The 15,001-nt window shown below is 50.9% G+C and overlaps 1 protein-coding gene across 5 annotated transcripts in view; it reads left to right on the forward strand.

Annotated features, from left to right (window-relative positions):
• The first annotated feature begins 307 nt into the window (after positions 1-307).
• Positions 308-15,001, forward strand: part of IGFN1 (immunoglobulin like and fibronectin type III domain containing 1) — a 38,129-nt gene continuing 23,435 nt past the window's right edge. For 4 of the 5 annotated variants that reach the window (NM_001164586.2, XM_005245580.4, NM_001367841.1 and 1 more), the window contains exons 1-11: positions 308-391; positions 2,731-2,784; positions 3,638-3,757; positions 5,323-5,462; positions 6,702-6,801; positions 8,818-8,862; positions 9,093-9,138; positions 9,721-9,895; positions 11,203-11,316; positions 13,222-13,390; positions 14,566-14,838. In NM_001164586.2, the coding sequence (NP_001158058.1) occupies positions 2,778-2,784; positions 3,638-3,757; positions 5,323-5,462; positions 6,702-6,801; positions 8,818-8,862; positions 9,093-9,138; positions 9,721-9,895; positions 11,203-11,316; positions 13,222-13,390; positions 14,566-14,838 (1,189 nt within the window). In that variant the 5' untranslated portion in view covers positions 308-391; positions 2,731-2,777. The remainder of the gene's footprint in view (positions 392-2,730; positions 2,785-3,637; positions 3,758-5,322; positions 5,463-6,701; positions 6,802-8,817; positions 8,863-9,092; positions 9,139-9,720; positions 9,896-11,202; positions 11,317-13,221; positions 13,391-14,565; positions 14,839-15,001) is intronic. The other variant, XM_017002787.2, reaches the window with a different exon arrangement.

The following is a 15,001-nucleotide window of genomic DNA, read 5'->3' on the forward strand; positions in this document are numbered from 1 at the left end:
TAAGGGTTTGGATGATGAAAATGTCCTTGCTAAAAAGGGTCGTATAAATGAGGCTTCATGGGGCAAATTTACACTAAGCCAGTCTGGTTAAGAGCTTAAAGCTCTGCAAAGCGAGGAGTTGGATGGACTGATGTCACAGGACCCTTCCATCTCTGACCTCCTCTGAGCTAGAATGTTAGCCCTGGGGGCCTTGCCCTGCCAAGCCTGGACTGGAGGAGAAGGAGGAGGCGGGGTGAGTGGGAGGGGCAGAGGGAGCAGAGGCGCCTGCAGCAACCGACACCTGCTCCAGCCCTGCCTGTCCACTACCAGTCAATCCAGAGCCTCAGCAAGCAGCAGCTGGAAACGGGGAAGAGGGAGCAGACAGGAAGCGGGAGGTCAGCTGTACACCCAGGTAAGTGGGTGCTCACACCTGGCTGCCCACCCGGGCCAGGGTAGGGCCAGGATGGAGACACTAGCCTGCTGTCCAGCTTTTCTACGCAGGAAGGGGCAGGCAGTGGGCAGGATGTCTGCCTGGGGAACATTCCCTGGCTGGCGGATCACACGCTGGGGTGCACCTGTATCCCCTCTAGGTTACTCCAGGATATCTGGAGGAGAGAATTTCAGTGTGTCCTGTCTGGGCATTTCTGTCCTGGCTCTAATTTTCTGGACACGGCTTGACTTTGGGTGTGATACGATGACCAGATTAAAAATATCACTAGCAGTCCAGAATAAGGACCTCGGGCTGGGACTTGTTATATTTTGGTTAGTATCATGGTCAAAGCAGTTGAGAGAACTCCATTTGGCTCTTCCTGCCTCAATTTCTACCAGTTGAGAGGTAGCAGGGACCAACTGGAGGTAGCAGGGACCTGGATGTGCAGGATGGATCCGGGGAGGGTAGGGAAAAAGGATGGGGAGCCATAGGTCCTGGAGAGGGGGCAGGGAGGGACTGTCCCAGGATCCAGTGCTGAGAGTGTTGTTGGGACAGCTGAAGTGAGGACACAAACTGCTGTTTCCTTCTGGGAAGAACTGGAGTTCTTCTCAAATGTGGGAATGAATTATGGAGGAGAGAATTCATTTCCTTTCTCATCCCTTCCAACTGAGACTACATCCCTCTAGTCTCCAATCCAACAGATCTCTTTCCCTGTGTCATTGACTTTGTACCAAATCTGGCTTATTCTAAAAGAGAGTGGAGCTCCAGAAGTGGATGCTTAACGTCACATCCCTAAGTTCCCCCAAGAGCTTTGCTTCTTTTGCCCTCCTCTGCTGGGAGCTGTAGGCAGGAGGCTGGAGGGAGAAGAGTGGTATCAGCGTCATCCTTCTTCATGTGTGACCAATAGCTGAGTAACAGGATGATAGCTGCTCGTGGTGATGATGTGGGTGACGATGGGGATGATGACTCAGATAGCTGTGTTGAACTCAAACTACTCCAGTGTGGGGGTCACCGACTGGCACCAGTGCACTTGCATCTACCAGGAGGCTGCACTGAGGGGTGGGTGGGATGGGGGCCCTTGCAGCCCTCCCCCTGGCCGTGTCCAGCTGGGTCCTCATCCGTTGGTGGCTGCCTTCCCTCCCACCCTTCCTCGTGACTCCCTTCGGCGTAGTGCCTGTGGCACCCGTGACCACTCCAGAACGCAGTTGGCGTACCATGGCATTCCAGCACGCTAGGGTGCAGCGGCTGGGCTGGCGAGGGGCTGCCAGGGGTCAGAAGTGCCAGTGGGTGGCCGTTGCGAAATGGAATGATCTCCATGGGAGAGAGGAATTTGCTCTGTCATGTGTGATTCTATATTAATGATAAGGCTCTTTGGGCAGAAAATGGAGTCCCCAAAATGGAACCGCTTGGCCATGGGCCAATCGCACAGAGGGTGGGACTGCTGGAAGATTCTTTCAAGACATCCCCCCTCCCTGATTTATGGCTCTCATCCCACCCCAGACCCAACCCCCTTCCTCTCCTGTGTGGGACTCCCCATTGGCCATAACAGATGGATGCAATTAAGAGGAAATCAGGAGAGATGGTGGTGGTGAGAGAATGGAAAATACTCCTATTCACCTGACACTATAATTCACTGGCTTCTGAGGGGAGCAGATGGATTTATGGGGATCCTACAGGCCTGGGCCAAGAAGAGCTTAAGAGCAGCAAATTTGAGGCCTCTCCCCTGCAGACCTTGTGACTGGAAGGATTCTAGATTGGTGGAGCGTGGGAAGTAGAGGGCTTCAGTGTCCTGCCAGAAAATCTCAGAGTTGGGGGAAGAGCCAGGAGGCCCAAAGAATGTCCTTGGAGAATTCCCATTCCAAAGCCAATGGGGCAAGCTGAAAGGAGCCTGAATCCTTTCACAGCTGAAATCCTTTCACAGCTGAATCCTTACACAGCTGAAAGGATCCTGAATGGGTCTGATTTCCTCAGGTTTGGGAGGGTTGTGTCTCATGTTCTGGGCAGGGTAATCAGGTCTGGGGTCCCACCAGGAGGCCAGGCCACCAGCACAGTGTGCAGGCTCAGCTTATGGTTCCCTTTACCTGGGAATGTTACCAACTGGGTAGCATGCTACCCACTCCCTGGTCTCTGGGAAATTGGTTTTGCTGGGGACAGGGAATTGCAGGAAACTAATCAGTGCCATTAGTGGGTTAGAAAAGCTCTTGGGGGCAGCAGCTTTTTCCAGCTCCCACCCCAGACATTGGCTGATGCACTGATGGTGTGGGAGGGGTGGGGTGAGACCAGCCTGGATTTCTCAAAAGCAATTCCATTTCTGTTCTCAGGGTAATAGAACTTCTACCCTCAGAGGAGTCAAAGAGGAGGCAGAACTATGGCAGGTAAGAGAAGAACTAATCTCCCCTCCCCAGCCCTCCCTGGCGATCCTTACCAGGACAGAGAGGAGAGAAGTGGTAGGGATCAGAGATTTCTGGGAACTTGCCCATCTTGTTGTTGTTTTTTTTCTCCTTATTTTATTTTATTTTATTTTTATTGTTGTTGGCTTTTTTTGAGACAGAATCTCACTCTGTTGCCCAGGCTGGAGTACAGTGACGCGATCTCAGCTCACTGCAACCTCCACCTCCCAGGTTCAAGTGATTCTCCCACCTCAGCCTCCTGAGTAGCTAGGATTACAGGTGCCTGCCACCATGCCTGGCTAATTTTTGTATTTTTAGTAAAGGTGGGGTTTCACCATGTTGGTCAGGCTGGTCTCGAATGCCTGACCTCAGGTGATCTGCCCACCTCGGCCTCCGAAAGTGCTGGGATTACTGGCGTAAGCCACCGTGCTTGGCTTTTTTTTTGAGTCTTGGCTTTGGGTTTTGATTTGTTTTCCTGAGTAAGGAGTGCAAAGCCCCCACACGAGCTCCTGCTTCTTGGCTTCCTGAGAAGGAGCCCTTTCTCACTCTTTCTTCCCAGCTTTTCCCCAGTGACACACTCAGGGTCTTCCTAGGGTGCCCCACCCACTTCCTAGAGGCTCCATTCACACTGCCAGAGTGTGTGCCACCAGATTCCCACTAGAGAATTCAAAAGCACTGTGCACAGGCAGGAGGTACTACAAATAATCCTGACCCAAAAGTAGGAGCGAGAAGGGGCTTCTTGCTCCTGGGGTGAGTGGGTGGATGCCCATTCTGTTGAAGGGCCACCCAGGAGGAAGAAGGTGGAAGGCCCCATCTCCTTCCCTCCTGCATTCTCCAGGAAAGCTCCGGAAGTCCCACATCCCTGGAGTGAGCATCTGGCAGCTGGTGGAGGAGATCCCTGAAGGCTGCAGCACGCCGGACTTTGAGCAGAAGCCCGTCACCTCGGCTCTGCCAGAGGGTGAGCCCAGAGGGGAGCTGCGGAGGGGAGGCAAGATTCTTGCTCTCCTACCTCCCAGGGGAGAGGGCTGGGGCACCAACCTTCCTGGGGACCCAGGCCCTATATCCATCACTAGGCCATAGCCCATCTCCCTCCTATCCTTGAGGGGGTATGTGCTTACCTGGAACCCTAGAAGTGACAAGAGGCCTGGGGAAAAGAGTGGATAAAGAGAGTGAAGAGACACCATGCTATTCTGGTGTGAGAAATATCTGGGGGGCAGGGATGGAAAAATGCTAAACTGGGGAGCAGGGAGAGGTTGTGGTGTTTCCTGGTCCCTGTCTCCTCACCTCAAAGCCACTGCTGCAGAGAGGCACTGTTAAAACAGTTAATTTGACTCTTCCCAATCCTCGCCTCCAGGCAGCAGCACCTGCTGTGGCTCACAGGCTGGGCTCAGGAAGGCCCTTCTAGAAGGCCACATAAGAAGGTGTCCAAGAAAGTGGTGGGAACAAAGGCTTATTGGGGAAAAAGTGGGAATTGGTGTTCTTTCCCCAACACACACCCTGCAATAAATTTTAGTTCATAGCATCCTGGTAATAAGAAAAAGAATGGTATTTTATTTTTCTAAATCTGGAACAAGGTAATGAGAAATTGGGAAGGGCCCTTGGGCCTTTGGTCTATATTGCTGTCTACTGAGATGTTCCTGGTGGGAGGCTGAGGGATTCCTTGAGGGCGGGCAGTTCCCAGGCCTCCATGACAGGCATGGAGCATGGGGTCTTTTCTGAGGCTGAAGCCTGTGTCTCAGCACCGGATCCTTCGGGCACCAAATAGTCACTCCTTCTCCTAGTTGTGATTCCTCCTCCCCCTAGAGAGTAGGAAGGGAAGCCAGAAAATCTCTTCTTTTTTTTTTTTCTTTTTTTGAGATGGAGTCTCGCTCTGTTGCCCAGGCTGGAGTGCAGTGGCGCAATCTCTGATCACTACAACATCTGCCTCTGGGGTTCAAGTGATTCTCCTGCCTCAGCCTCCCAAGTAGCTGGGATTACAGGCACATGCCACCAAGCCTGGCTACTTTTTGTATTTTTAATAGAGATGGGGTTTCACCATGTTGGCCAGGCTGGTCTCGAACTCCTGATCTCAGGTGATACGACTGCCTTGGCCTCCCAAAGTGCTGGGATTACATGCGTGAGCCCCTGCGCCTGCCCGGAACTCACAAAATCTCATTCCCTTCCTAGTCTTGGCAGAGCCTTCAGACTCCTTGCTCACCCACTCTCAAAGAAAAGCCCCTGTCCCCTAAAGCCCTGCTGGCCTCCCCTTTCACCAGGGCCAGTCCACCTGTCTCTTTCCCTCAAGCAGCCCAAGCTTCTGCAATATAGAAAGAGGAAGCACTGCCTTCTGGGTGCCTGGAATCTGCTGCTTTCCACCTGCGTATTCTGAGTCCTGAGTCAAGGGGACCAAGGCCTGGCATCCTTTTTGGAAGGGGCAGTTGAAATACCTAGATGAGGAAGACGATATAAATTAAAATTTAAATAAAGTATACAGTCACCCTCTCCCAACTTGTCAGTCTCCCTACTCGTCTCTTCCTGCTGCAGGGAAAAATGCTGTCTTTCGGGCTGTGGTCTGTGGGGAGCCCAGGCCCGAGGTGCGTTGGCAGAACTCCAAAGGTGACCTCAGTGATTCCAGCAAGTACAAGATCTCCTCCAGCCCTGGCAGCAAGGAGCACGTGCTGCAGGTAAGAACCGTAGCTCTTCCCCTGACCAGGGTCTACTCGTCTTTTCCCATCCCCTTGAAGGTCTCTTTGGCAGCCTCCAATCCCTAGAGGAGTAAGACATACTCCTCGTTGAGGTTGAATCCATTCAACTCCATCTCGTGACTCAAAGTTGCCTGAGCCAAGAATGGATCTGGCAGGCTTGCAGATACCTCTGCTGATAACCTGGGAGGTGGTGTAGACTGGAGCTTAAGAGCTCAAGCTCTGAAGTCAGACTGCTGGAGTTACAATCCCAGGCCCACCACCTTGGCTTTAGAAAGTCATTTTACTCTTTTTACCTCTGTCTCCTCATTTGTAAAAATGGGATAATAATAGTACCTACTTTAAGGAGTTGTTATGAGTTGTTGTTGAGATGGATCTCACTCTGTCGCCCAGGCTGGAGTGCAATGGCGTGATCTTGGTTCTCTGCAACCTCCACCTCCCAGGTTCAAGCGATTCTCCTGCTTCAGCCTCCCAAGTAGCTGAGATTACAGGCATGCGCCATCACGCCCGACTAATTTTTGTATTTTTAGTAGAGTTGGGGTTTCACCATGTTGGCCAGGCTAGTCTTGAACTCCTGACCAACAATGATCCATCCGCCTCGGCATCCCAAAGTGCTGGGATTACAGACATGAGCCACTGCGCCTGGCCAGGAGTTGTTATGAGGATGAAAGTTTTATGTAAAGTGTCTAGCTAGTGCCTGGCCTATAGTGAGTACTCAATCAATCTTGGCTAATCTGAGCAATATTATAAATACTAACCATGGGATACCTACTATGTGCCAGGCCCTACTATGTCCCAGGGGCTAAATATTTGACATAGATTATATATTTAATTCTAATTATTCACCACTTTTTTGAGGTATTATATTCCCATCTTACAAATGAAGAAACTGAAGTTGAGAGAAGTTAGGTAACTTGCCCAAGGTCCCACAGCTAGTAATACAGGACAGAGACTGTTTTCAGGCCCAGATCCATCTGACCCCAAAAAGCACACTCTTTCTACTTCGCTACATTGCCTCTGATGGCAAAGAATTGATACATCCACCCTCTGTCCCAAACCAGGTTTCTGTTTTGGGGTCTGTCTTTCCTGATAAAGACTGTGAGCTCCATGAGGACAAGGACCATGTCTTACTCACTTTATACCCCCAACACATAGCCGTGTCTAGTAAATGGAGGAAGGGGATGTGGTAGCCCTGTTCCTCTGCCCTTGGCCTCTCTGCAGATCAACAAGCTGACAGGCGAGGACACGGATCTGTACCGCTGCACAGCAGTAAATGCGTACGGAGAGGCCGCTTGCTCAGTGAGACTCACTGTCATCGAAGGTGGGCTTTTCCCTGAGTTTGTCTCATCAGTGCACAGGGCAGAGACCCACAGAGGAATCAGATGCCCCGTGGCTAGTGAGGGAGGGGAGGGGAGGGAAGGGAGGCCCATCCAGGCTGCTGCCGCTGCTGCAGCCCCACCTTGTGCTGGGCCCCGGGCTTCATCCACATGCACACTGAGTCTGCATGTGTTTAAAAAGGCACACCTTGGCAGATACTCTGAAGGATATTCTCTTGGCCCAGTAAATGAGCAGGACCTGAAAGCTGGCTTCTAGTCCTAGAGCTTCTGCTAACTCATTCAATGGGCTTCGTTTTCCTCTCTGGGTCTCAGTTTCTCCACCATGCAAAGGATATTTTGGACAGGCCTATGCCAGAGTTGACAAACAGGTCACACAAAGGCCAAATTCTCTCTCAGACATGTTTTTTTTGGTGTGCGTGGTGTTTGAAATTTTAAAAATTGTCAACCTGTAGTAATTAAAAGGTAGATATCTCTTGAGGAAGCAGGTCTAGTCTCGCCATTGGTTATGCTTACAATTGATCTGCCTGCAACTAACAGAAAATCCTACTAAGAGCAGCCTAAGAAATAACGATATTTCATTCCTTCACATAAGAAGTTTTGCGAGTGGCGTCCAGGGCTCATACCACAGCTCAGGGCTGCCATCGGAGAGCTGATTCCTTCGTTCCCACTGCTCTGCCATCCTTAGCAGATTGGCTTATCACCTCATGGCCATAAGAGGGCTGTGGCAGATTCAAACATAATCCATGTTCAAGGTAGGAAGGTGGAAGAGGTGGCCCAGGTCCATCTGCCTCTCTTATTTTTATTTTTATATTTTTGAGATGGACTGGAGTCTTGCTCCATCGCGTAGGCTGGAGTACAGTGGCACAATCTCACCTCACTGCAACATCTGCCTCCCGGGTTCAAGCAATTCTCCTGCCTCAGCCTCCTGAGTAGCTGGGATTACACGCGTTTACCACCATGCCTGGCTAATTTTTGTATTTTTAGTTGAGACAGGGTTTCACCACGTTGGCCAGGCTGGTCTCGAACTCCTGACCTCAGGTGATCCACCTGCCTCGGCCTCCCAAAGTGCTGGGATTACAGGCATGAGCCACTGTGCTTGGCCTTTTATTTTCTATTTTTTGAGACCTGTTGCCCAGGCTGGAGTGCAGTGGTGTGATTATGGCTCACTGCAGCCTTGACCTCCCAGGCCCAAGTGATCCTCCCACCTCAGCCTCCCAAGTAGCTGGGACTACATGCATGTGTCATCACACCCAGCTAATTTTTTTATTTTTTTTGTAGAGGCGGGGTCTCCCTGTGTTGCCCAGGCTGGTCTGGAACTCCTGGGCTCAAGCTATCCTCCCCCCTCGGCCTCCCAAAATGCTGGGATTACAGGCATGAACCATCACGACCAGTCCATCCACCCTTTTTATAGAGGAAGCAAAGGCTTTCTCAGAAATTCCTGGAGCTCATTGGTCAGGACAGTGTCACATGAGCACTGCTAGTTGCAAGGGAAGCTGGGGAAGGTGAGTGTTTAGCTTTTTCAGCCTCTCTAGTGGAAGCAGATGATGAAGAATACAAATGGCTGCAGGATTAGCCAAACAGCAATGTCTGACCTATTTGGCAATATTGGGCCTATACCCTGAAATGGCAGCTCCCAGGTGGAGTGAAAGAGCAGCTGCCCCTTTAGATACTCTTGAGTTTGTTGTGGTTGCCAGTGTCTGCTTCACGCATTTATGCCACCTCCCTGGCCCCTGCGGACACATGACTGGGCCTCCCCTGCATGAGATGATGCTTAGGTTGGTCCCCTTGGTCATGGTAAGGCTCTAGGGTAAAAAGGCTTATGATGGACAGACCCTCCACCCTGCTCCATCCCTCTTGCTGGGATCGTCCACGCCTTAGAGGACAGTGGGGAGAGCAGGGCTCTGGGACTCCATCAGTTTCTCAGGAAGACCATCAACATGTCTTGCTTCTCTCCCTGCTTGTCCACATCGACTCCTTCCTCTCCTCCCTGGATGTTGCAGTTGGCTTTCGGAAGAATCGGAAGAGGCACAGGGAACCGCAGGAAGGTAGGCAGATTTGTCAGAAACCTCCTTGGGGGCCTGTGGGGGATAGGCTACTCCTTTCCTGGTGTTCCCTGCCTGGTTGAGCTACCATGAACACCTTGTGGATCACCACCAGTCTTCAAGAGAGCCCCTTCCAAAGGCTCAGTTGTCAGCATGGACAACACAGAAAAGCTCTGCATCAACCCTCAGTCATCCCACCTGGGACTGAGGCCTCATTCCTGCTCCTTTTTCAGACCTCAGGAAGGAGCTGATGGACTTCCGGAAGTTGCTGAAAAAGAGGTGGGTTTGGGCCTGTCCATGAGGGATTTTGGAGGCTCCCATAGTATTCACCCCCTGCTATTTCCATAAGTAAGCTGGGCTTGAGCCCCACCTCTACCCAACACAGCAGGGAGCTAGACTGCCAGTAGCAGATGGGAGGATGGGAAGGGGACTGAACTGGATGGGAATGGGACAGAGCTCCAGCTCTGCCATTTCAAAGCTCTATATCCTTGAGTTAATCATCTCTCCTCTGATTTCCTCATTTGCAAAATGTGGTGGTCCACCAGAACAATGATGTACTTTTTTTTTTTAAGCAACAGAACAATGCAACACCCACTTTCCCCAGACATCCTACTTAGAAATCTACAATACAAGTTGTCAGGAGCATTTCTCCTGAAAGTTGTGGGGTGAGGCTGAGGCTCGCCCCACCCATCTCTGAATCCTTCTGGCCTCAACAGTGGTCAGTCCCAGAGATTCCAGGCTCTGCGTTTCCTCGAGTGCAGATAGAGCAGCTTCCCAGAACTACTTGGGACACCAGAGCCAGGTGGCCAACAGAGGAGCAGGGATTCCTCTGGCCTCTGACCTGCTAGCCTTGCTCCCCAGGGCCCCACCAGCCCCCAAGAAAAAGATGGACCTTGAGCAGATATGGCAGCTGCTGATGACAGCAGACAGGAAGGACTACGAGAAGATCTGCTTGAAGTATGGCATCGTCGACTACCGTGGCATGTTGCGCAGGCTGCAGGAGATGAAGAAGGAACAGGAGGACAAGATGGCACAGGTGCCTCACCCCATTCCCACCCCTCACTCCATGCCCACCCCACACACCTGGACCATAGGTGCCTCACACCTGGAGGTGGGCTTGGAGGCAGAACTTAGGAAACCAAGTATGATCAAGGGGCCTGTCTCCATCTAGTCCCCAGTGGGGTATCTGGCTAAGGCCCTGGGATCCCAGGTTGGTGTCCTGCCTTTGCAACCTGGTTCTGATACTTACTAAACTCTGGAGCTTTGGAAGGGTTAGGGCCTCTGTATCTTGGTGTCTTCATCTGTAAAATGGGAATTATAGTCATGCCTACCTTGTAGGGTTATTGGGAGGATAAATGAGAGAATGTAATTAAAGTACTTAGCTTAGTGCCTTGATTTTTGCTATCATTATCATTGTCACCAGATTGCGGGGGGGAGGTACCTGGTTTATTTCTTTCTTTTTTTTTTTTTTTTTAAGATGGAGTCTTGCTCTTTCGCCCAGGCTGGAGTGCTGTGGCCGGATCTTGGCTCACTGCAAGCTCCGCCTCCCAGGTTCACGCCATTCTCCTGCCTCAGCCTCCTGAGTAGCTGGGACTACAGGTGCCTGCCACCACACCCAGCTAACTTTTTGTATTTTTAGTAGAGACGGGGTTTCACCGTGTTAGCCAGGATGATCTCGATCTCCTGACCTCGTGATCCGCCTGCCTCGGCCTCCCAAAGTGCTGGGATTACAGGCGTGAGCCACCGCACCTGGCTACCTGGTTTACTTCTAAAGGCTTTCATGGAAGGGAATTTCACAGTTCCCATTAGCACTCTGATCCCAGAATCTTATCAGCTGTACAGGAATTTCTTTCCTGTGTCTAACTTAACTATAGCATAAGTCTAATTTTTCTTCTGAAAATGGAAAACAACTAGTTTTTATTATCCTGAAAATAGTATCTTATCCCCTTGAAAGATAAGCTTCCTTAAACCTAACACCTAGGGTCTCAGCCTTCTCTCCTCCAAGCTTTCTCATTGGCTTTAACACGGGACCTAGCACAGAGCTTTGCACACGGTAGGTGTTCAACTAATGTTCGTTAGAAGTACAGATAGATGGAAAAGCCCCACTGTGTTCTAGCAACTGAACACCTGGGGTCTTTTCTTGGTTGTCTTCCTGATCTGATCTCTCATCTTGGAGAATTTCCTTCCTTGAGGGGCTTACTTTCCCCCACTTGTAAAAGGGGCCAATGCATGCTCATCTGGAACGCTGTGGGCCTGGGATGGTACCAGAGCCTATGAGGGTTCAGAGTACCCCGAAGAGAGAGCTTCATGAGCTCTCCTGCTGGGTGTTTGTCTGCTTTGTAGTACATCAACACCATCTCCAGCTTAAGACACATCAGGGTCACCAAGGATGGGAATGCAAAGTTTGACTTGGAGCTGGATCTCAAGGATTCTCAGAGCAAGATTTACCTGTATAAGGTGAGGCTGGAGGGGCTATGGGTGGGGGGGATCTGGCAGGGATGCTTCAGGTCTAGTGGAGAGGGAACTATGGGTACCCTGCATTCCTCCAAGGGAACAACCAGAGCACACAAGTGGTGAGCCCCTCATCCCATGGAGTTCCTGGCTGGACCTGGACCAAACCCTGGTGTAGACCATCCATCCACAGGGACTTCTTATCTCACACTGAGCAACTGGGCTCTCCAGCTGGGCCTGTGATTCTCTGTAAATTGTGTCTAACACCAGAGCACGGGGGTGAAAAGAGGGTTCTGAGAAAGTGCACCCCTTTCCATCTGAGCTTTCTCTCCAGAGACTTCATACATCCCTACCTGGGCTCTAGGAGTAATTATCTGCCAACCAGATGGGGGCAGAGGCAGGTGGGGAGCAGTTGGTAAAATTTGGCTAGTTCTGTAGCCAAACTCATCCAGCTTCATCACTTATAAGCTGTATGACCTCAGACAAGATACTTATCTTCCCCATGCCTCGGCTTCCTCACTTGTGAACTGGGGATAATATAGGACCTGTCTCATGGTGTACTGCAGCGCTAAATGACATCATGTGTGACTTGCCCCTCCCCTCACCTCTCTGCTTATTCCTGCTTCTCTTCCCCTTGTCCCTCAGTTCCTGGCCCACTGGCCTTGTCCCTGTTCCTTTGCCCAGGTGTTCCCTCTGCTTGGCATGCTCATCCCCGATATCGACAGGGCTAATTCCTTCATGGCAGAGAGACTTCCCTTGGCCACTCCGTGTGATTCCACTATGTCCCTCCAGCCCCACCCTGGCACTCAGGAGCCCTGGACCCATATCTACCTTTTTGTTCCCTAGTTTTCTCTCTTTCTTTCCCTTTCTTTCTTTTTCTTTCTTTCTTCCTCCCTCCCTCCCTCCCTCCCTCCCTCCCTCCCTCCCTTCCTTCCTTCCTTCCTTCCTTCCTTTCTTCTCATTCTGTTGCTCAGCCTGGAGTGCAGTGGTGCAATCTCGGCTCACTGCAACCTCTCCCTCCCAGGTTCAAGTGATTCTCCTGCCTCAGCCTCCCGAGTAGCTGGGATTACAGGTGTTTGCCACCACACCCAGCTAATTTTTTGTATTTTCAGTACAGACAGGGTTTCACCATGTTGGCCAGCTGGTCTTGAACTCTTGGCCTCAAGTGATTCACCCGCCTCAGGCTCCCAAAGTGCTGGGATTACATGCATGAGCCATCACACCCGGCCAGTTCTATTTTTTTCTAACATAAATTATTTACTTATTTATGACATCTATTATTTATATTTTTCCCCCATAGGATTTTAGCTAGTGAGAGCAGGAATCTTTGTTTTATGCATTGATGTGTCCTAAGTACCTGAAACAGTGCCTGGCACACAGTGGGCCCCTAATAAGTATTAGCTATTGTTAATATTCAGCAAGTAGCAAACCTATCTAGGGCTTAGTTAAAGCAGGTATGCATATAGATTACTGGGTTTCATAGAGCCTTATGGATATCTGATGTTATTCTCTGCAAGTTCCTGTTGGTGAATAAGTTGAGCTGGGGCCTCTGGGCCATGGGTGTTGTGTCCGGCCTCCCCTGCTATCCTCGCAGGGCTGCTGGAGAGTAACTCTACTCACAGCCTGAGCTGGAATGTCAGCAACTTCAGGTGCCCCTTTGTATAACACTTGCAGACTTTTCACTCCATGGACATTCCTAGAGCATGGATTCCCATCCAGCTCACAATCCCTGTTCCCATGTTCTCCAGGCCCTGCTGTCCACCCCATCCCAGCTCCTCTATGGTTCCAGGAATCTGTTGTCTGGCGACTGGGCCCGTGGGAGAAAACTGCTGGTTATAGCCAGAATGGGACTGGGGCAGGAAGCACTGAGGACCCACTGAGGCCCGCCTCCTCTTCCTTTTCTGGCCTTAGGATGGTGAGATGATCCCCTATGGCTTCAACAACCAAACCAAGCACTGTCTGCGCCGGCTGGGGAAGCGCTATGAGTTCCAGATTCAAGACCTGAGGCCTGAGGACTCTGGCATTTACCAGGTCAAGGTGGAGGATGCTGTGGTCTTCTCCACAGAACTGGAGGCCAGTGGTGAGTGGTCTACACTGCCGAAGTTGGAGTTGGGGAGATATGTTAGAAATGGAGTCCATGTTGGTGCAACGTGTGTGTTGGGGGGTAAATGTGATGTGGCCCCAGCTGCAAAAGACAATTGGGAGAGGGACACATACCTAGATGGCCAAATTTTGATGCTTTCTGTTTTCCAAAGCCTTGGTGCGAGTTATCTCTCCTGGTGCTGAGCTGGGTTCTACTGAATTACTGTCACAGACATAGAACATATGTGTCATGCCTCTGCTTAGACCTTCTCTAGCCATCAATTATTTTCAGATCAGATCCAGACTAATTGCACAGCCTCTAGAACTCCTTTCTGTTGCATGTCCTCATCTCCCACAACACCCTAGCAAGAATCTCTGGGTTAGGCATCCTCACGCTCCATACAGACCTTTCCTTTTCTGCTTCCTGTATTCCTTCCCCATCTAGGAACTGACACTCCTCCTTCATCAAACTCTGTCCCATCCCCATGAGTACCTGTGTCCACATCACTCTCAGAGCACCTGCCAGCTCAAGGGGGTTCTTGAAAGGACAACGAGAGGCCTGGGGAAGGGAGCTTTGGACAGACATGTCGTAAGAACATGGCTGAATCAAAGTTGGGGGAGAAAAAAGGGGGTTATGTGCCCCAGCACGGGGGAGGTGCCCAGATGGGGCTTTGGAAAGCCTGAAAACAGTGCAGTTTGGGAAAAGAAGTATGGGTTTGGGAGTCAGCCAGACCTGGGTGTGAATCTTGGTTTCTCTTAACTGCGTAAGACTGGGGCAAGTTATTTAACTTTTTAAGCCTTAGTTTTCTCACCTGTAAAAAGAAATTAATAATACTTATCTTGGAGATGGTCACAAGGATGAATAAGATAAACTACCGGCTCTTAGCATAGTGGTTTCCTTCATGCATCCACCTTGTCCCTAAATATAACTTTTGGGTTTGGAAGTATAGAATCCCAGAGCTGAAAATAAGCCTCATTGCTCATAACTGTAGCCCCTCATTTTACTTGGGGGGAATTGACACCTGAGGTCCAGAGGTGACCTGTCCAAGGTAACATGGGGAGTTTGTGGCTGAGCTGGTCTAAGCCAGGATTTCTGAATGGCCAGCCTTGCTGCCTTAGGTCACACTGTGTCATACCATCAAGCTGATATCCCCATTCCTATTTCCCCGGCAGCCATCCCCCCAAGAGTGGTGGTCCCACTGGCGGAGACCCACTGTGAGGAGCAGGGTGACGCAGTCTTTGAATGTACCCTCTCCAGCCCCTGCCCTAGTGCAGCCTGGCATTTCCGGCACCGGCTACTCCACCCCAGTGACAAATATGAAGTGTATGTGTCCCCTGACGGGCTGACCCACCGGCTGGTGGTGAGGGGGGCACGTTTCTCAGACATGGGCCCCTATTCGCTGGGCACCGGGCTCTACACTTCCAGCGCCTGGCTGGTGGTTGAAGGTGAGTGCTTCAAAACTCTGTCTTTCTCTGCCTCCAGGGAAGACCTTGGGGCTGCGGAGGCATGAGGAAGGCGAGGCAGTGGGATTTCCTTTGGTCAGAGAGAATAAGGAAAGCTCCTTAGATTATTCTCCACCCACTGCAGTGCAGACCTTCATGGCCAACC

Source organism: Homo sapiens, chromosome 1, assembly GCF_000001405.40.
Source record: "Homo sapiens chromosome 1, GRCh38.p14 Primary Assembly".
Classification (NCBI taxonomy): Eukaryota; Metazoa; Chordata; class Mammalia; order Primates; family Hominidae; genus Homo; species Homo sapiens.